The 20,113-nt window shown below is 53.6% G+C and overlaps 1 protein-coding gene and 1 long non-coding RNA gene across 11 annotated transcripts, besides 1 other annotated feature; one reads left to right on the top strand and one right to left on the bottom strand.

Annotated features, from left to right (window-relative positions):
- Positions 1 to 2,212: 2,212 nt before the first annotated feature.
- Positions 2,213 to 13,145, bottom strand: LZTS3 (leucine zipper tumor suppressor family member 3). 10 transcript variants are annotated; one of them, NM_001282533.2, is made up of 6 exons: positions 13,051 to 13,145; positions 7,334 to 7,557; positions 6,301 to 6,777; positions 5,363 to 5,956; positions 5,093 to 5,224; positions 2,213 to 4,748 (listed from the first exon to the last, which is right to left on the bottom strand). In NM_001282533.2, exons 3-6 carry the CDS (start codon positions 6,757 to 6,759, stop codon positions 4,050 to 4,052), a joined length of 1,884 nt encoding a protein of 627 aa, NP_001269462.1. In that variant the 5' UTR covers positions 6,760 to 6,777; positions 7,334 to 7,557; positions 13,051 to 13,145; the 3' UTR covers positions 2,213 to 4,049. The 10 variants fall into 10 exon arrangements, with proteins under 10 accessions (NP_001269462.1, NP_001375121.1, NP_001354538.1 ...); NM_001388192.1 differs by having other exon boundaries at positions 5,156 to 5,956; positions 7,395 to 7,557; NM_001367609.1 differs by having other exon boundaries at positions 5,093 to 5,956; positions 7,395 to 7,557.
- Positions 13,029 to 13,368: a silencer, noted in NCBI's record as "silent region_12614". NCBI's record gives its function as "represses an Ori minimal core promoter by ATAC-STARR-seq in GM12878 lymphoblastoid cells {active_cell/tissue: GM12878}" and the evidence as "EXISTENCE:reporter gene assay evidence [ECO:0000049][PMID:35858748]".
- LOC107985414 (uncharacterized) lies at positions 13,286 to 18,659 on the top strand. The gene is made up of 2 exons (XR_001754477.2): positions 13,286 to 13,786; positions 17,698 to 18,659. It is a non-coding gene; the product is annotated as an uncharacterized LOC107985414 (long non-coding RNA).
- Positions 18,660 to 20,113: the final 1,454 nt, after the last annotated feature.

The raw sequence follows: 20,113 nt of genomic DNA on the forward strand, positions 1-20,113 counted from the left end.
ACACATGTTCAAATCTGAGGACCACCACTCAGGGTTTTATGGCCTTGGAGAAGTCACATAAATTCATTCTTGTTATATTATTATTATTATTTTCATAGAGACGGGGATGGCAGTGTCTTCCTATGTTGCCCAGGCTAGTCTCGAACTCCTGGGCTCATGCAATACTGCCGCCTCAGCCTCCGAAAGTACTGGGATTACAGGTATGAGCCATCGCACCCGGCCCACATAAATTCTCTAAGCCTGTACAGTGAGAAAAACAATACATTTTTTTTTTTTTTGAGACAAAGTCTTGCCCCATTGCCCAGGCTGGGGTGCAATGGTGCAATCATGGCTCACTGCAGCCTCAACCTCCTGGGTTCAAGTGATCCTCCTGCCTCAGCCTCCTGAGTAGCTAAGACCACAGGCATGCACCACCACACCTGTCTAATTTTAACAATGCATTGGTCGGGTGTGGTGGCTCACACCTGTAATCCCCGGTGTTGGAGACCGGCCTGGCCAACATGGTGAAACCTCGTCTCTACTAAAAATACAAAAAAAAATTAGCGGGGCATGGTGGCGTGCACCTGTAACCCCAGCTACTTGGGAGGCTAAGGCAGGAGAATCACTTGAACGCAGGAGGTAGAGGTTGCAGTGAGCCGAGATTGCACCACTGCACTCCAGCCGGGGCAACAGTGAGACTCCATCTTTTTTTTTTTTTAATGCATTTATAATAGAGATGTATCTGTAAAGTGCTCTCAGGAAAAGAGCTAGTGACATGATGGATAGATGAGCCTGCTGAGAGAAATGGATGTGGAGCTGGGGCTTAGCGAGGCCAGAGCTATGGAGCATGAGCCAGGGTGATTCTCCACCACCCTAAGAAGGAGGGCTGGGTCCTACTGGGTACATATATTGACACAGCTGTCAGTATAGGTACCTAGACAAGAAAGAGACTCTACTAAACCTCTACCTATCAGAAAGTCCTGGCCCCAGGCTGCCATTCCTGAGGGCACTTGAGATCTGCTGATCAGGGTCTTCATATCTTGTCAATGCCTTGGCTCTAAGGGGTGTGAAGGAGAGCTGAGAAATCATGCTCCCTCCAGGGCCTATCTTGTAGGGAAGACAAAATCAATGTAGGAAGAACACGTCCCTGCCAGGAGGGGCAAGCCTGACATCCCAACTCCTGAGCTCTGGAGACAGCGCTGTTTGAATATCTGGAGCCCCAGACCACAGACACCACTGCTTAGGGAGGGTTCTCTCCCTCAGGCCAGACCAGGGCAAACACTATTCATTGTTATGACTCTGTCCTTGCCAGTAGAACCCAGAGAAAGCAGAGAGCCTGCCCCCAAGGAATGAACCATGTTTGTTCCTAGGCAGCCATGACAATCCTGTTTCTCTTTGTAATACTCAAATTCCCATTCTCCCTTGAAGTGGGAGGAGCATGTGGCTCAGTTCTGGCCAACAGGACTTAAAGGGAAGGGTCCTGGGAGGGCTCTGGGAAAGCTTTTACTTTTCATGATAAAGTAGGGCCGCCTCAATGTCTTCATGGAGCTGTGGCAGCCACTTTGTGGTAAGGAGGGAACAACATGCCAAGGATGGAACAGTGGGAGGATGAAAATCTAGGTCCCCGAGGATCCAACAACCATGACACCACCTCCGGATTTCTTGTCAGGTTGGGGAAAAATAAACCACTCTTTGAGGTCCTTTGATTACTTACAGCAGAGTGCATTCTTGATTGTGTGCTTTGAGAGGATGACAGAGGAACTGTTGTAAAGGGAAGCTCTCTGCTGTGCAGCACGCTTGGGTCCCTTTTGCCTTTGGGGCTTCGCCATTAATTGCAAACCTGTTCCCAGTCTTCACTTCTATCCATTCAGCCCGCAAACATCTACCAGTTGCTGTAAGGTGGCTTAGGCGACTGCAGGCTGCATCTAGCTGTCCTGCGTCACCTGTTTTCTGGCTAGCAGCTTAGTGTCCAGATTCTGAGCTGGAGCCAGCTTTTAACCCCTTTGGCAACAGTCTGAGCTGAAGAGAAAGCCCCACTGGGCATATACATGGCACCACGACTCTTCCCGGGCAACGTGGCAGAACTTGGGCTTTGGGCCAACCTCCTAGCACGGCCCAGTGAGCACCTCCAGTCTCATGCCTCCTCTGGGAAATCTGTTTACTCCAGCTTTGCCCCCATCCCCCACCCGGGCCTCACCTCCCGCACCTGCAAAGACACAAGCAGGCCAAAGAATACCACTCAAGAGGCTTTTTCCGTTTTATTTCTTTGGGAAAGGAAAACAAAAAGTCTTTCCATCACATATGGTAGAGATATATATTTATATATATTTATATATAATTTCTTTTGTGGTTGGACGTCCCAAAGCTGAGTCTGTTCATATTTTTTTCTATTTTTTTCTTACTAATGCCTTCTCTTCTCCCTGCCCCTGTGGCCTAGGCCCAGGTTCTAGGGCAGGTACAGTGAGGGGTGAATGGAATGGGCAGTGGTCGCCAGGATGGCCTCCCACCCAGCTCAGAGACCTGGTGAGGACCACCCAGAAGGGCTGTGCAGAGGGTTAGAGGCCACACAGAGGGGCACTCATGTTTTTGTGGGGGATGCACAGCTCATTAAACAGTCACCAGTCATGGGAGGAGGCTGGTCAGGGGCTAGGGGACTTGCTCACAGTAGTTGCCAGCTCTCTCCACCTTGCCCCCCAAAACTCAGTCTTGGGGGTGGGAGGAAGAGAGTGAAAAAGAGAGAGATATAAGGGCTGAGGGCCAAGCCTCCTCCAATTTTTATTGCTGGTGAATTAGAAATTTGCTTTTCCCTTCCTGTCTTGGGGAGATAGACTCTGAGAGGGCCCCAAGAGAAGCAGCTGACATTGGCTGACCTAACCCCTCATGCCAGGCCTACCCTGGGCAGGTGCTGAGCCACCTCAGGGCGCCAGGAACCTCTCAGGTCAGCCTTGTTCTTCAAGGGCAATCACATCCAACTCTCCCCCCGCCCCCAAAACAAGGGCCTCCGGCTCAGACTTGGGCCAGTGGAGCTGGGAAGTGGGCAGTGCACCAAAGGTCAAGCGGAATTTTCTATTGGAAGAAAAGGTGAGACTTTGGGGAAGAGACTGCCTAGGAAGATGATGTGCTGAGCATGAAAGCAGAAAGAGGCTGGGGGAATAGAGTGCGGGAAGACATCGCAGACACTCGTCTGACCTCAGAAACTGGGCGAGGAGAGTGCCTGAGAGGCAGGTAGCACTTAATAGCTGTGTTAGAGCCGGACAGTGGTCCTGGGTGTGGGGTCAGCCAAGCAGATGGGGCTGTTGCCCTGCGGGATCCTGGCCAGAAGGGTGAGGGTAGAGCCGAGAAGCCGTCAGGCAACGCTTCCCAAGAACAGGAGGACAGATCTTCCCTGGGTGCTGGACTTCCAGCCCCAGTCCTCCCCTCCCGCAACACACACACAGGGACACACACTCACAACCAGGCCAGGCTCTGAGGCCTGAGTCCAAGAGATCTTGTTGGGGGAGGGGCTGGGCAGGTAGCCCTCTCAGCCAAAGGCAGGCCATCTGCTCCCACTTGTCCTGCCAATCTGCCCAGGGAGGGAGAGCACTGTAGGAGGGAGAGAGGTCTGGAGCCCAGGCTCTGTCAGTTTCAGCAAACCTGGTGCAGGCCCCCTCAGGCTCCATGGCCTAGGAGGTGAGCACAGAGAGCATCACTAGACACAGGGTGGCCAACAGTAGCAGCCCAGGCCTCCAGAAGGACTGGGGCACCTTATGGCACTGCACGTCTGCTGCCTCCATCTCCAACAAGGGGGTGCCGAGAAAGGGAGCATGACTCCCCCACCACCTAGGATTGCCCCCACTCACCCTGCCCTCCTCCTATTCCCTCCTTTTAGGGGGGTCCAAGTGGGCTGCCACGGGGGCAGTGCTGGAGCTAGGAGGGCAGGTGGGGAGGGAGGAACCTGGTCACAGCTGCTTAGAGAACCTCTTTGGTCTGGGGTTATGGGGTCTATGGGGAAGAGAGATGGAGGGGAGGGGACACTGGGGACTCTGGCCTTTTGACAGGACATGTGTCAAAATGCCGAGTGCCCAGGTCGATCAGATTTCTGTGGACTCAATGCGCTCGAGGCGGGAGGGGGTCCAGGCCTTCTTCTCCTCGCCATGCTGGGGAGTGGGCGTGCTTGCACCCCCTGCGGCCCCGCGCTCCCGCAGCCTGCGCTCCAGCTGCTGGTTGCGCTGGTACATCTCCACGTAGCTCAGCTGCAGCTGCTTCTGGTACTCGATCACCTTCTCCTTCTCCTCCAGCCACACGCGGCGCTCCTCGGCGAAGCTGGCACCCTGGCGCTCCCGGGCCCGCCGCTCAGCCGCCAGCTCGGCCTGCAGCCGCCCCACCTCCCGCCGCAGGGCCCGCGTCCCGCTCTCCCCGCCAGCCTCCGCCTCCCCGTCCACGGAAACCAAGGAGGCGGCAGCGGCCACCCCGGCCTGACGGCGCATCTTAGCCTCGTCGCTCTCGCAGGTGGCCAGAGCATCCTGTGGCTCGGCCGGGTCCACGGGGGTCAGCGCCGGCTTGAGGCAGGCGGCAGGCAGCTCGCCTTCGCCCAGCTCCAGGCTGGCCTGCTTGCTGCTGAAGGAGTCCCGCAGGCTGAGCAGCTGCTCCTCCTTCTCCCGCAGCGAAGCCCGGCCCTCCCGCAGCTGCGAGCGCAGTCCCACGATCTCACTCAACTTCTGCGACACATCCGCCTGCGAGTCCTTCAGCTGCTGCTTCAGGAGGGAGATCTCGCCAGCCTTCTGGCACACCTGGGCAGGAACAGGTGAGAGGAGAAGCCAGGTAAAGGCAGAGCTCTGCTCACCCCAACCCAGCTACCAGATCTGGAGCCAGGGGCACCAAGCTTCCCGGGGCTGCAGGCTCAGCCCCTCATCAGCAGCGACGCACCCGATTCCCTGCCTGGACTCAAGATGGACATGTCTCACCCAGCGGATGGCCTCGGGTCCTCACAGACACTCCCAATTGATTTTTGTCCCCCCTGCTCCTTTCATCCCCCCCCCCATCCCACCGTTATGATAGTGAGGGGCAACTGCTCTGGGGTTTCCCAGAGGGACAGAAGGGAGGCAGAGGGGAGGCCCAGATCCCCAGCCCGCACCTCCCACTTAGTTTCCTCTATCCGGGGCAGGAAGTCGGCCTGCTCCTTCTGGCAGGCGGCCACCTTGTCCTCCAGCTCTTCCCGCTGCCGCATCAGCCGGGCCGCCTCCTCCTGCAGCTGCTTCTTGTCCTGCTGCAGCCGCAACACCTGCAGCTGTAGGCCCTGCTGGGCGCGCTGGGCACGTCGGGCCACCTGCTGTAGCTTCCCGCTGCAGCCCTGCCGCAGCTCGGCCAGCTCCCGCTCCCACGCCTTCTGCCGCTCCTCCAGTACCTGGGCCACAGCCGCCTCGCTCTGCTCCAGGCTGCGCCGCAGAGCTGCCACCTCCTGCTCCTTCTCCCACAGCCGCTCCTCCAGCTCCTGGATGAGTGCACTGGGGGAGGGCGGTGAGCAGGCCGCGAAAGGCAGGCCTCCACCTCCGCCCTCCCCAGAGCCCAGGTGGCCTGGCCGCCCCATAGATGACGACGACCCACTCTTGCTGGAGGCCCGTCCACTATCGGAGGTCCCCAGGTCCTGGTAGCCCGACCCCCCACCGCTGCTGCCGCCACTACCACTACCATAGCTGGCAGTGCCAATGCGGTTAATGTGGCTGGTGGAGGCACTGAGGGGTGCCAGGTGCTGGCTGTAGCTGGAGCTGTAGGTGGGCAGGCTTGTGAGGGAGTTCCGGCCTGAGTCTGAGAGGCCACTCCCACTCCCACCCGCTGGAGTCATGGTCCGAGACTTGTCCAGTCCGCCTTTGAGGCCACCAGGGCCCTGCCGTCCCTCAGGAGTCCCATTGGTCTGCGGGGGGCACAAATTCTGCATGGAGTGGAAATTCTTGGGTACGACAGGCTTGAAGGCCGACGGCCGAACTAGTGGTTCTGAGCACTGCAGGAAACGCAGGAGGGGGCTGGGGGTCAGGATGAGGCCTTGGGCTTGGCCCAGGCTCTTCCCTCTGGCCAAGACTTGTCCAGCCCCACCTCCCACCCCTACTGGATTTCCACCCTGAGGTTCCCCATCCGGGGTTCTACCTCATGGCTCCCTGATACCAGATCTCTGTCCTTGATCTACCCGCTAGACTTGGCCCCAGGTCCCCAGTCCATGACTCCCCAGCCCAGCCTCCATCCTGCCCCCACAACCCAACCTCCAAGAAGGCCCACTTTGCCTTCCTCTCTGGGTTGCCTCCCACCCCCAGAAAAAGGCTGTGAGGGTCTCAGGCCCTGCGGACTGACCTGGTCTAGCTTGCCAGAGGTGGCCAGGAGCTTGGGTGGGTGGCTGGGCTCACGATACTGCGGTGGGGCTTTGTCACTGCCACCACTGCTGCTGCTGCCTCCGCTGCTGCCAACCACGTTGCCACAGACATCGGTGTGGTCACTGCCCCGCAGCTCACCATTGAGGTAGAGGGAGTTGGCGAGACCCTTGTCCTCTGAGGGGTAGCGGCCCGGCCTCTCCCTGCTGGCCCCACTGCCACTGCCTCGGGGGCCAGGGAAACTGCCCTGGCTGCCCCCACCCCCTGTGCGGGTACCCACGCTCTTCATGGCAAACTCCTGGGCATGGGCCACCCCACTGCCCACGCTGCCCATGGCCAGGCGGGGGTCCGGGGGTCCAAGCTCGGAGGGCCGTGGGGCAAAGGCCAGGAGAGGATCCCGCCCTGGGTCAGCGCGCACAGGCAGCGTCTCCAGCTTCGCCATGACTAAGCCAGGGGGGCACTGTGGGCACAGGTGGGAAGGCAGAGATAGGTAAGACCCTACTCCTATTCCCACCACCCCAGCCAAGTCAACCCGGCACCGCTCTGCCCCTCAGTGTCCCCTTCCCTACAATGGGTACAAAAAGTTCCCAGGCATCCAAGGTGAAGGAATAAGGCTGGGATAAAAGAGAGAACTTGGGAATGGGGGCTGCCTGTTGCCCACCTGATAAAGCCCAACCCCCAGGGCTCCATGCACATAGCCCCCAGCGTTGCTCAGCTCAGCTCAGCTCAGCTCAGCTCAGCGTTCCATTCCTAAACTTCTGCCTTAGCCCCACCTCCGCCATGAGCTTCCCAGGCTCAGTGACCCTCTCAACTCTTTGCTGCAACCCCAGAATTTTGGGGTTCTTTATCTTGGGTCTGGGACCCTAATATCCCAACCTCATGGGCTGGGGAAATGGGGTTGGAAGGGGAGAGCAGTACCTGAATCCAACAGGGAACCAACCTCAGAAATTAGGGGAGGGAGAGAAATACACCCCTATCCAAAAATTGAGGGTGGGGGTCCTTCCCAGCCCCCTAACCTAAGTGTTGCAGTCAGGGCAGAAGTGGAAGCTCACTACCAGCGCAGGCTTCTCTCCTTGCCTTTCCAAGGGGTTGAGGGGCCGACGGGTCCTCAAGCCTGGGACCCTCCGAGGCCCGGTCTGCAGGGGCCATGTGCCTCACTCTCGCAGTCGGGGCTCGGCCCGAACCAGCTGCGCGACTTTGGAGGGGCCGACTGAGCCATCCCGGACTGCAGTTTTCTCCTCTGCGAAATGGGAGGAATGAAGGACCTACCTTGCGGGGCTGCCGCGTGCCAGGCGCCCCGAGGCGGCGAGCGCCTGAGGAAACGGGGGTCTGGGGGAGGGTGGGTAGGCGACGCACATCTGGGTCGCGGGTGGGCGCCGCCAAGGGCACAGCCTGTCCCTCCCGGATGGACGGGGGCCGCGGCTGCAGTAGGTGGCAGGCCTGCCCTCCCCAAGGTCTTCCCAGCTCGGCCGCACCGGGGCCCTGGGAAGACAGGGCCCCCTTCCCGGGATCAGTCCTCCGCAGAGGTCCCAGGGCTGGCTGAGGCCGGGGCAGGGGACGCAGTGGCGCCAGCTGCTGGCACTGACGGAGCCTCTCTCAGGGCCTGCGTTTCCCACAGGTGGGAGGGGGGAGGGGAGGGGAGGGGCCGCTGCAGGGTGCGCGGCCCCAAGGATCCTGCGCCTGCCGAACCCCGCAAAGAATTCACTGCCACCAGGAAGACTTCCCGGATTACTACCCTCTCCCGCTCCCTGTGGACCTTGACCCTGCTCAGCTTACCGTGAAGCCCTCTGAGTCCTTCTGTGGGTGCGCGTCCCCCTCCCCCAAGGCCGGCCCACAAGCGCAGGGGGAGCCAGGCCTCGGGTTACCTGTGCTCAGGGAGGCCGTGCTTCCTCGTTCCTTTGTCTCAAGTTCGCACCTGGGAACACCTGCCCCAGAGATCTGCATAATGCAGCCGGGCAGGAGCACCAGGCAGTGTCTGCCTCGGGTTAGACCCTCAAATAAGTGTGTGGGAAATGGGAGAGGGCGCCCTTCAGGCCTTTTCCCACTACACCCTGCATAAACCAGGCAGGGAGCCCTCCTTCCCTATCAAGTTAAGGGGCCCACGTGGCACCCTATGGCCCCACAGACCGTCTTCTACCCAGATGCCCAGTTCTAATGCTGAGTCCCTGGCCCAGACCAAGGGCACCTGACAAAACTGTTGTCCTTCGGGAGTCTTCTGGCCCCCACACCAGGAATGAGAGCTCTAGGTTGTTGGAAAGTTCACTACCAAGCCTGTCCACTGTCTCTGTAGAATTCCATTCTCAGCATCTGTCCCCACAGGTGTGGAGAAGAGCACTTCGCCACCCTCCTCCCTTGGACCCGTCTGTCCCCATAAGCAAGGGCCAGGACTAGGATGAGGACAGAGAGCCACGTAGGGCACAAATGAAGGGCACAAACAGCAAGTACACAGCCCTGAGGGTGACAGCCTCCTTCCCTTTGTGCCTTGGGTCCCTCTCTGGCCTCACTCTAGTCCCTGCTCTGCCTCTACTCCCCAGCATACTCCAGCCCCCTATGCCTCAGCCCTGCAACCCCCTCCTACCTTAAGTATGGACCCTTCTCTTGCCACCTCTGGGTGCAATGTGGGGAGCAGCTGGGGACTGGGAGGATGAAGCCTGAAAGGCCTGAGGCTTGGAACCAGTAGGAAGGCCTGGGCAGGGTTTGGGAAAGAACTGGCAAAATTTCATACAGATGAGGTCAGGTGGTGGGGACAAGGGATAATGCTGGACTGGGCACCAGCGTGCGTGTGACACTGTTAACATGATAGGGGGAGACTGCTTGGGGAAAATAGTTGCTTTGGGAAACACCAGAGGAAGATACCTCTCAAGCACTAAATGGAGGCCAAGCAAGGTGGCTCATGCCTGTAATCCCAGCACTTTGGGAGGTCAAGGTGGGCAGATTACTTGAGGCCAAGAGTTCAAGACCATCCTGGCCAAATTGGTGGAACCCCATCTCTACTAAAAATACAAAAATTAGCTGGGTGCGGTATGCATTCCTGTAATCCCAGCTACTTGGGAGGCTGAGGCACGAGAACCCCCTTGAACCCAGGAGGCAGAGGTTGCAGTGAGCTGTAATTGCACCACTGCACTCCAGCCTGGGTGACAGAGCGAGACTCTTTCCTTAAAAAAAAAAAAAAAAAAAAAAAAAGCACTAGATGGAGAGAGATTGAGATCATCAGTTTTCAAGGGTGCTGGGGGTGTAGGCCAGCACTGAGCCAGGGAGCAAAGCCCCAGAAGTCTGGAAGGCACTCTGGGAGCAGGAAGAAGGCCAGGAGAAGGTGGGCCCTGAAGGCCAAGATTGGGGGGATTCAAGAATGTGGGGACAGTTTCCAGTGTTAAAAATAACAGGGCCAGGTAACACTGGGGTTGGAGAGTGTGCTGCGGATTTAGGAGCTGGTCTCGAGACATCACCAATGTCTATGTCAGAATGGTTTCAGAAAAGTGGTACAAGTGCCGGATGCGGTGGCTCACACCTGTAATGCCAGCACTTTGGGAGGCCAAGGCAGGCAAATCACTTGAGGTCAGGAGTTCGAGACCAGCCTGGCCAACGTGGTGAAACCCCGTCTCTACTAAAAATACAAAAAATTAGCTGGGCGTGGTGGTGCGCGCCTGTAATCCCCTACTCAGGAGGCTGAGGTGGGAGAATCACTGGAACCCGGGAGGCAGAAGTTGCAGTAAGCCGAGATCATGCCACTGCACTCCAGCCTGGAAGACAGAGCGAGACTACATCAAAAAAAAAAAAAAAAAAAACAGGTTGGCGCGGTGGCTTACGCTTGTAATCCTAGCACTTAGGGAGGTCCAAGACAGGTGGATCCCCTAAGATCAGGAGTTCGAGACCAGCCTGACCAACAGGGCGAAACCCTGCCTCTACTAAAAATACAAAAAAATTAGCTGGGTGTGGTGGTGCATGCCTGTAATCCCAGCTACTCAGGAGGCTGAGGCGGGAGAATGGCTTGAACCCAGGAGGTGGAGGTTGCAGTGAGCCAAGATCGCACCACTGCACTCCAGCATAGGTGACAGAGCAAGACTCCCTCTCAAACAAATAAACAAAACAGAACAAAAAAAGTGGTACAAAACAAAGGCAGTCCACAAGGCTAGAGGAGTGCAGAGAAAGACATGGCAGAGTTCCTGCTAAAAGAGAAGACAGTTATTTAAGGAGGTTTGAGATTCAAGGGCTTTTTTAATTTTAAAATTAACCATGGTAGAAACCTGTGTGTTAATATGCTGAGGGAAGTTGCCAATAGTGAGATGAAAGATCTAGGCAAGGGGATAGCAAGGTGACTGCACCAGATACCTGGATCTGGGCAGGAATAAACCTCAACAGTGATCATGTTGACCTTGAGTGACAGGGTATAATGTTTGGGAAGGTGCTTTGTAAACTATAAGGGGCAATACAAACATGTAGTACACCTTCTCTGAGATCCGGGAAAGGACAACCTGAGCATAGGTTGGGGCTGGTCATAGGCCACTCTCCCCTACTGTTTCTCTAGAGTGTGTGTAGTCCCTAGCAAGTCTCAGATGCCTCGAGTCGTGGATGGAAACAAGGTCCCAGGACCATTGTCCTGAGCCTCCTTTCTCCGTGCTCTACCTGGGGAATGCTTGACTATCAACCCACAGAAGCTCTCTCTGGAGCCTCACTGCCTAAAGAGCTTCTTGTCGTAATTGTAACCTGTCATGGTTAACCCCTTGCAAGCATGCCCTGCCCCTTGTCTCTCCCAAGCTTTGGCTGCTGCAGCTTCTTTCCACAAAATCCCAGCAGATAGCCGGGCGTCGTGGTGCGTGTCTGTAATCCCAGCTACTCGGGAGGCTGAGGCATGAGAATCGCTTGAACCCAGGAGGTGGAGGTTGCAGTGATATTGCGCCACTGCACTCCAGCAGCCTGGGCAACGGAGTGAGATACCCCCTCAAAAAAAAAAAAAAAAAAATCCCAGCAGGACACCGGCAGGACAAGGAAGGGGATGTTTCCCTGGTAAGCAGGAACTGAACTGAGAGGAAAGGTCACGGTCCTGAACTAGTCCAGGTAACTGAGCATGGTCTGCAAAGGCAGCCTCCTGGCATCAGTGCACCACCCTGAGATGACAGCCTGTTGCCTGACTGCCTCGATCTCTGTCACCTCAGCCCTCAGTGCCTGGGGCATTATACACAGTATTAGCGTCATGAGGGGGCCAAACGGACTCTACCTGACAGTTACATGTACAGGTACCTCCAACCCACCCCTCAACCTGTGTCTCTCCCAAAGCTAGGAACACTTGGGGTCTCAGAGGCCCCAACCCCAGCCCATTCTATCTCCTAAAAATCTCTAGCCAGCCCCTCCATCCAGCACCCCTGCTGGGGGCTCCTCAATGGACTTTCTTCTCCTGCACTCCCTCCCCCAGGCAGCTGCCAGGGGATTCCTTCTAAAGGGCAAAGCTGATCTTGCCCCTGCTCTGTCCAAATCCTTCCATGAGCAAGACCAAGTGCAGTAGACAGAGTTCTGGCAGCATCAGCTCCAAGTGTAAATCCCAGCTTGACTGATTAGGGGTGCAACCTCATGCAGGTTATTTCACCTCGGGTTCTCACACCTACATTGCAGGCATTTTAAGAAGTAAATGTATGATGGGTGAAATGCCTGGTATTCCTCTTGGTCCCCAGAACCAGAGCAGAGCTTGCAGCAGGGTCCCCAAGGACTCTCCTGATGCCCCTCCTCTATCTACCCTGACCTGAGCCCCTCTCTACTTCACACACAAGCTCTTGCCAGCTCTCTGTGCCCATCCTACATGCTTCTAGACCAGTTCAAAGGCTGGCCTCAGGACAGCATCCCTGATCTCCACCCCCCAGAGGGGGCATCTTGGAGCACTTGGCTGAGGACACCCCAGGGAGATTTCACTCTGAGGCCTCCCCAGGGCTGGCCTATAGGTTTCCCAGGAGCACAGAGGGCAGAGTCCTGGGGGTCTCTGGGCCCTGCACCAAGGAAATGCAGGGCAAATGCCTGTGGGAATGCTAGTTATGGGCAATGCAAAGAGGCAGTGAATCCGGGCAGGGAGAGCAGGAGGGGTTTCCAGGAAGCAGGACTGAGGGAGGAAAGGGATCTGGGGGCACTGCAGGGCTTTTGGGGTGCAGAGATATCCAGAACTTCTTGGTTGGGATGAGTGAGGGGAGATCCGTCTTCCCTCGGTGGCCTAAGCACTGGCAGCGGAATGGGCCCATCACCTAGCTACTGGCTCTGATGAAGCCAGTGTTTCAGGACTGAGGGGGCCGAGAGCGCCCCCTCCACCCCGAGCACACACACGCGCGCACACACGAGCTTCTGCTGGGGGTGGGAGGGGGGGTCGCCATTCACCAGCAGCCCACGGCCCGCAGAGCCAACTGATAGAGACCCCAGCCACAGGCCACAGGACCTGGGAGTCCCTGCGATGGGGGAAACCCCGCCCGCACCTCCCCAGGCTCCCCACCAACGCGTGTGGCCCCGGGGGGCGGGGCGCAGAGGGAAGAGGTGACATAATCCGAGCCGCACCCCCTCTGGCCGCCACCTCCCCCCAGGCCGGGCGAAGCATCCATGACATCATCCGCCTCCTCTCCGCTCCCCTCCCCCTTGGGACCCTAGCAGCGGGACGCGCCCCCTACCCAGTCCGGGTCAGGTCAGACATGCCGCGCAGTGCAGCAGGCACGGCGGCAGGTCGGAGCCGGGAGGGATGCCACGATGGGCCTGCCTCACTTACTCGCTGCCTCAGGGTCCGGCGCGGGGTCTCCGACACGGGCGCCACCGGCCCCGCTTGCTGGCGCAGCCCGAAGCACGCCCGGCGGGGCGCGCTGCGCGGGCCCGGCTCCGCTCCGCGCCCCTCCTGCTCCCCGCCCGAGCCCCGCCCACCAGCGGCTGCGGCAAACGCGAGCCCGCCCTCCGGCCACGCCCCCCAGGGCAGCCAATGCCCGGGCTGGGGCGGGGTGAGGCGCCTTAACCCCTTCGTCGCTGCGCCCCGCCCGCGCGTGGGACCCCTCAGCCTCACCCTCTCTAGGGCGCAGCAAGTCCGCCGCGAGCCCCTCTGCTCATCGCTCGTTACCCCCCAGGCCCTTGGGCTTGGGCTCAGGCCCAGTCGTTCCTCTGCAACAAATCCAATGGAACCGCGCCCTCCCTGAATCCCACGTCTAGGAAGAGGAGGAGGAGCCCCTCTTGCTTGGGGGAAGGGGCTCCCGACTCGGAGCCCCGAGCCCCATTCCTCTCCCGCGCCAGCTCTTCGGGACGCGGCCTCCCAGCGGACGCCCTGAGACCTTGCAAGTCCGCTAGGGAGGGGTCGGGACGAGCCGTCGCGGGTGGATCCGCCCGGCCGAGCAACGACCCGCCCGGGCGCGAGGACCACGGGCTGTCGTGCGGGAGGCGTCGAGGGGCAGTAAACTCCGTTCGTGACCAAACGGAGACGATTTGAAACTTGCTGCTCACACTGGATCACCGTCTGGAAGGTGCGACGGGGAAAAAATACACATTACACTCCAGCAGGATTGAACGCTTTCACCCTGTGCCCCGCGCCTGGCGTAACGCGTGGCCCCAGACCACACGCTGTAACCCGGGGTGAGAGGGAGTGAGGTGGGACTTCGTACCGGACCCGGAGCGCCGGCCTCGCCCGCGCGGGCAGCGTTCACTGTGGGGAGTGCTCACTCAGCCTAGGGCGGCCCGGGAGGACTGCCGGGAGGAGGGAGTCGGCCTTGAATTGAGGCCTCAGCCTTGAATAGGGTAGGGAGGCAAGCCTAGCCGAGAGTTTAGCACTAGCAAAAGCCTGGAGGCACCAGGGTCTGCCCTAAGAACTGCAGCGCCTCTGCTCTGGCTGGGATTTAACGCATTACGTCTCTGCTGTTTATAGGTGTTGTGTTTGGTCTTACGACTTCGTATTCTATAGTTTTTATTTATTCCTGTTTTCTGAATTTTCCCACATTTGCTTTTATCTTCTATCGTGATTTTCAAGGCAGAAAGTATTTTTAATTCTTCTCGCGGCTGCCTTTAGATTTATCAAATGAAAATAGTTTACATTTCACACATTAGTAAAGTCAGTGACAAATAATTCGTTTTTATATTCCCCCATGAGAAATTTTGTGTGCTTTTCTGCCTCCTACCTGCCGCCCTCACTACTTATATTTGTCCACTTAATCAGGACGACAGACCTAACTTTTGTTTACACTTTTTTTTTAAGCCACAACATTCTTTTTCAATCCTTGTTTTTGGCTTTTGCCAACTCTGTTTAATTGGTTTCAATGTTACTGCCGGTTTTTTGTGCTCTAATTTTTCTATTCCTCATTTGGACCCATCTCTCACATGACTGGTGATTTCAGGGAGGACTCTGGAATGTTGTATTTCCTAAGCCTTTGCCTTAGGTGAGAATGCCTTTATAATGATTTCCTGTTTATAGGATTCTTGAGTCTCAAGCTTTCCCCCTCAAAACTCTTGTCTTTATTTCATTGTCTTCTGGCACTGAAAATGCAAAGCTGGGTTTGTCTGTTTAAGGTCAGCAGTTTGCTTGGTGCTTGCAAGGGTTTTTCTTTACCCTCAAAAGTCAAACATTTTGCCAGTATAAATCAATATGGGCCTTATCTATTAATTTTCCAGAAACAAAAGAGGTCTTCTTTGTAGCTTAGAAAAGTTTTCTTCCTGTCCATTCTGTGAAAAGATTTGGGTTTTTTTCTTTCCTCTCCTCTAAAACTATCACATTGGATCACCAATGTCAAATAAATCTGTTTGTTTTCTCTGCACCCTGGGAGACTATATCAAGTTTTTCTTCACCATTACGGATTTAATTTTCTTCAGAGCCAAGAGTACTGTTTATTTTCTCCAATAAGACATTTGATTCTGCTTGTTTTATTTTTCTTTCAGCCAATTTCCATTCCACCTCTGTCTTGATCTCAACTTAATCTCTCTTTGTAGTCTCCATTCCTATTTCATAGACTAATGTGGTTTTGCATCTTTAAAAGAACACCAGGAAAATAAGAGAATACTATCTATATCTGACTCTGGTCCAATGCATATGAAAACTTTTTTGTTTTTTTGAGACAGAGTCTCACTTAAAATTTACACAAACTCTAGCATAGTGTGTAACTATTGAATGAATAACTAATGCAATCCCCTTCCTTTCTTTCAGAGCAACTATGAACTAGACTTTTTTTTTTTTTTTTTTTTTTTTTTTTTCTGAAATGGAGTCTCCCTCTGGAATGCAATGGTGCAATCTCAGCCCACTGCAACGTTCGCCTCCTGGGTTCAAGCAATTCTCCTGCCTCAGCCTCCTGAGTAGCTGGGATTACAGGCATGTGCCACCACCACGCCGGGCTAATTTTTGTATTTTTAGTAGAGACGGGGTTTCATTATGTTGGTCAGGCTGGTCTCGAACTCCTGACCTTGAGATCCGCCCGCCTCGGCCTCCCAAAGTGCTGAGATTAGACTATTTGTATCTAGGTTCATCAGTTCAGTGAACTAATCAATACTTTGTTTTGTTTTGTTTTGTTGTTGCTTAAGATGATTTGTCACCTGCTGATTAATGATCACACAAGTTGTTTTTTTTTGAGAGAGTCTTGCTCTGTCACCCAGGCTGGAGTGCAGTGGCATGATCTTGGCTCCCTGCAACCTCCGCCTCCCGGGTTTAAGTGCTTCTTTTGCCTCAGTCTCAGTAGCTGGCATTACAGGCGTGCACCATTACACCCAGCTAATTTTTTGTATTTTTAGTAGAGACAGTGTTTCGCCATGTTGGCCAGGCTGGTCTCGAATTCCTGGCCTCAAGTGATCCACCCTCCTCCACCTTCCAAAGTGCTGGGATTACAGAACTGAGCCACCGTGCCCGGCCCTGAAAACCTTGATAAAGGGGCTCATTTTCTGGGAAATAAAATTACAAGGATAACAAAGATATTAAAAACATCATCCAAGAAATATGTCCAAAAAAGGTTCTGGTGGCCGGCATCGTTGCTCACGCCTATAATCTCAACACTTTAGGAGGCCGAGGCAGGAGGATGGCTTGAGCCCAGGAGTTCAAGACCAGCCTGGACAACATAGGGAGACCCTGTCTCTACAAAAAAATTTAAAAATTGGGCTGGGCATGGTGGCTTACACCTGTAATCCCAGCACTTTGGGAGACCAAGGCAGGTGGATCACCTGAAGTCAGGAGTTTGAGACCAGCCTGGCCAACATTAGTGAAACCCCATCTTTACCAAAAAATACAAAAATTAGCCAGTTGTGGTGGTGAATGCCTGTAGTCCCAGCTACTCGGGAAGCTGAGGCAAGAGAATCACTTGAACCCAGGAGGTGGAAGTTGCAGTGAGCTGAGATTGCGCTGTTGCACTCCAGCCTGGGCGACAGAGTGAGACCCTGTCTCAAAAAAAAAAAAAAAAAAAAATTAAAAAATTAGCTAGGCACAGTGGTGCACACCTGTGATCTCAGCTACTCAGGAGGCTGAGGTTGGATGATGGCTTGGGCCTGGGAGGTTCAGGCTGCAAGTGGGCCGTGATCGTGCTACTGCACTCTAGTCTGGGCAGCAGAGCAAGACCTTGTCTCAAAAATAAATAAATGAAATTTTAAAAAGGCTCTGGCCTCAGACAGTTTAATGGAAGAAATCTCTCAAACTCACTGAATAGATAATTTTCACCCTACTAATCTGCATCAGAACCCAGAAAAGATAGAATGCTGTCTATTTCATTTTATGAAGCCACAATTCCCCTTATACCAATTCCTAATAATAGCACAGGAAGAAAGGAAAACTGAAAACCATACTCATCAGTCATCAGTTCCAGGGGTGGAAAATCCTACATACAATTCAAGAAAATAAAACTGTAGATTATTCTGTATGAAATTAATAAGCCATGAGTTTGTCAACTGAGAAAAAAAAACAATTATCATAATAGATGCCAAAAAAATCAGTCAAAAATGAATACCCAAAAAGAACCCTCCTAATTAACCAGGAACAGTTGAAATTAAGAATTATGTATTACCGGCCAGGCACGGTGGCTCATGCCTTAATCCCAGCACTTTGGGAGGCTGAGGTGGGTAGATCACCTGAAGTCAGGAGTTTGAGACCAGCCTGGCCAATATGGTGAAGCCTCATCTCTACTAAAAATACAAAAATTAGCTGGGTGGGGTGGCAAGTGCCTGTAATCCCAGCGACTCAGGAGGCTGAAGCGGGAGGATCACCTGAACTTGGGAGGTCGTGACTGCAGTGAACAGTCATCATGCCACTGCACAATGCAGCCTGGGCTACAGAGTGAGTTGCCATCTCAAAAAAAAAAAAAAAAAAAAAAAAGCCACGTGAGATGTGAGTTCCTGTTTCCCTACAGCCTCACCAGCATAGGATATCATTAGTCTTTTAAATATTTGTTTTAATCACGTCTTCTTTGCCCCATAGCTGACGGAGGGGTTCCCACTCTCATGTGATGGCAGTGGCCAAACACAACACCTGACACTGGGCAGGTGAGATTTACCGCAGTTTATTAGTTACAACATACTCAATGGGAAAGGACACCACAAGCCACGCAGGGCCACACAGGGGGTGTACTCAGGAGTGGAGAGAACAACCAGGGGTTGTGGAGGGCAGGCTTTGTAGTGATAAGAGAGTGAGGTGCTCCCTGGTTCCTGCATGGGAGGTAACTGGCTTGTTTGAATAATTCTACAGGCTGGCAGGGAACTGAAGCCTACTACTAAGAGATAAGCAGGAACTGCTCCTGGTTCATTTGATGAAAGGATTGGCTAGGGGACCTTACCCACAGAACACAGCAGGAGGGCAGCTTACAGCTAGACCATTTGAGGCCCTCTTGATTTTACCAGAAGTCAAGTCAATAGTTCTTTTTATTTTTTACATTTTTATTTATTTATTTATTTTTGAGACAGAGTCTCACTCTTCTTGCCCAGGCTGGAGTGCAGTGGCGCGATCTTGTCTCACTGCAACCTCCGCCTCCCGGGTTCAAGTGATTCTACTGCCTCAGCCTCCCGAGTAGCTGGGACTACGGCATTTACTAGCATGTCCAGCTAATTTTTGTAGTTTTTGTAGAGACAAGCTTTTGCCATGTTTTCCAGGCTGGTCTCAAACTCCTGAGCTCAAGCGATCCACCTGAGAGCTGAGCACTCCCACAGTGCTGAGATTACAGGTGTGAGCCACTGCACCTAGCCTCACATAGCATTTTGAGGGTATAAATTGGTACAACCTTTTGGGAGGACAATTTGGTAGTATATAAAAATATGAAATGTGTATATCCTTGGACCCAGCAATCTCATTTCTTGGGAAGAGATACCATCACAAATAATATGATGTATGTCTGAAGACAGTCACTAATGTACTGAATGTAAAAGTAAAAAAAAAAAAAAAACCTCCTAAATACATCAATCTATTAATAGAAGATTGATTAAATGAATTACAAGGCATCCAATGCAATGTAACAATAGACAGCTATTAATATTTAAAAGGACATGGATGCCTATGTGTTGACACAGAAAGATGACTACAGTAAGTGAAAAAAGCTGTGGCATATCATATGTATACCTATCAACCTACTGTACTCTAATTTTTCTATTATTATTTTTTATTTATTGAGCAGCCCCCAAAGCAGAGAGTCCTCCTACTCTTTTTTTTTTTTTCTTTTTTTGAGATGGAGTCTTACTCTGTCACCAAGACTGGAATGCAGTGGCATGATCTTGGCTCACTGCAACCTCTGCCTCCCGGGTTCAAGTGATTTTCCTGCCTCAACTTCCCGAGTAGCTGGGATTATAGGTGCCTGCCACCATGCCCAGCTAATTTTTATTAGAAATTTTTAGTAGAAACAGGGTTTCACCATGTTGGCCAGGATGGTCTCGAACTCCTGACCTCAGGTGATCTGCCCGCCTTGGCCTCCCAAAGTGCCTGGGATTAAAGATGTGAGCCACCATGCCCAGCCCCTCTATTCTTTTTCAAAGAATATATATGTACGTGCATAGAAAATTCAGGAAAGATACATACAAGATTAAACATGGGCCACCTTGAGATGGTGGGATCATAGGTCATATGGCAGAAGAAAGGAGTCTAGGCACTAATGTAATTTTTGCACTTTGGCACAATCAGCTCACTGCAGCCTCGAATTCCTAGACTCAAGTGATCCTCCTGCCTGCCTCAGTCTCCTGAGGAGGCAGGACTACAGGCATGCCCAGCTTCCTTTTAAAAATTTTTTTGTAGAGAAGGGGTCTTGCTAAGTTGCCCAGGCCGGTCATGAATTCCTGACCTCAAGCAATCCTCCTGCCTCTGCCTCCCAAAGTGCTGAGATAACAGATGTGAGCCACCACAGCTGGGCAAATATTTAATATCTTAATACTTTGCTATTTCTACATTTTCAGAGCTTACCTGTTTATTCGTCCACATAAACTTATTTTCCTTTTTGACTGTCTTTAAAAATATATTTAAAATATAAATTTAAAAAATCGTATCTCTTAATACTCTAGAGTAAGCAGAATAATGCCCCCCACCCAAAATGTCCAAATCCTAATTCCCAGAACCTGTGAATATGTTGTTACATGGCCAAGCGAAATTAAGGTTGTAGATAGAGTTAAGGCTTTGATCAGCAGACCTTAAAATAGGAAGATTAGCCTGGATTATCCAGGCAGGCCCAGTGTCATCACAAGCGTTCTTAAAAGTGAAAGAGGACGGCAGAAAGAGTGAGATGGAGATGTGACTAGGAAAGAATGATCAGAGAGATGCAACATAACTGGCTTTGCAGATGGAAGAAGGGGGCCATGAGCCAAGAAATGTGGGTGGCCTCTAGCTGGAAAAGAACCTCCAGAAAGGGAGCACAGTCCTT

Source organism: Homo sapiens, chromosome 20 (genome assembly GCF_000001405.40).
Source record: "Homo sapiens chromosome 20, GRCh38.p14 Primary Assembly".
NCBI classification, from domain to species: Eukaryota; Metazoa; Chordata; class Mammalia; order Primates; family Hominidae; genus Homo; species Homo sapiens.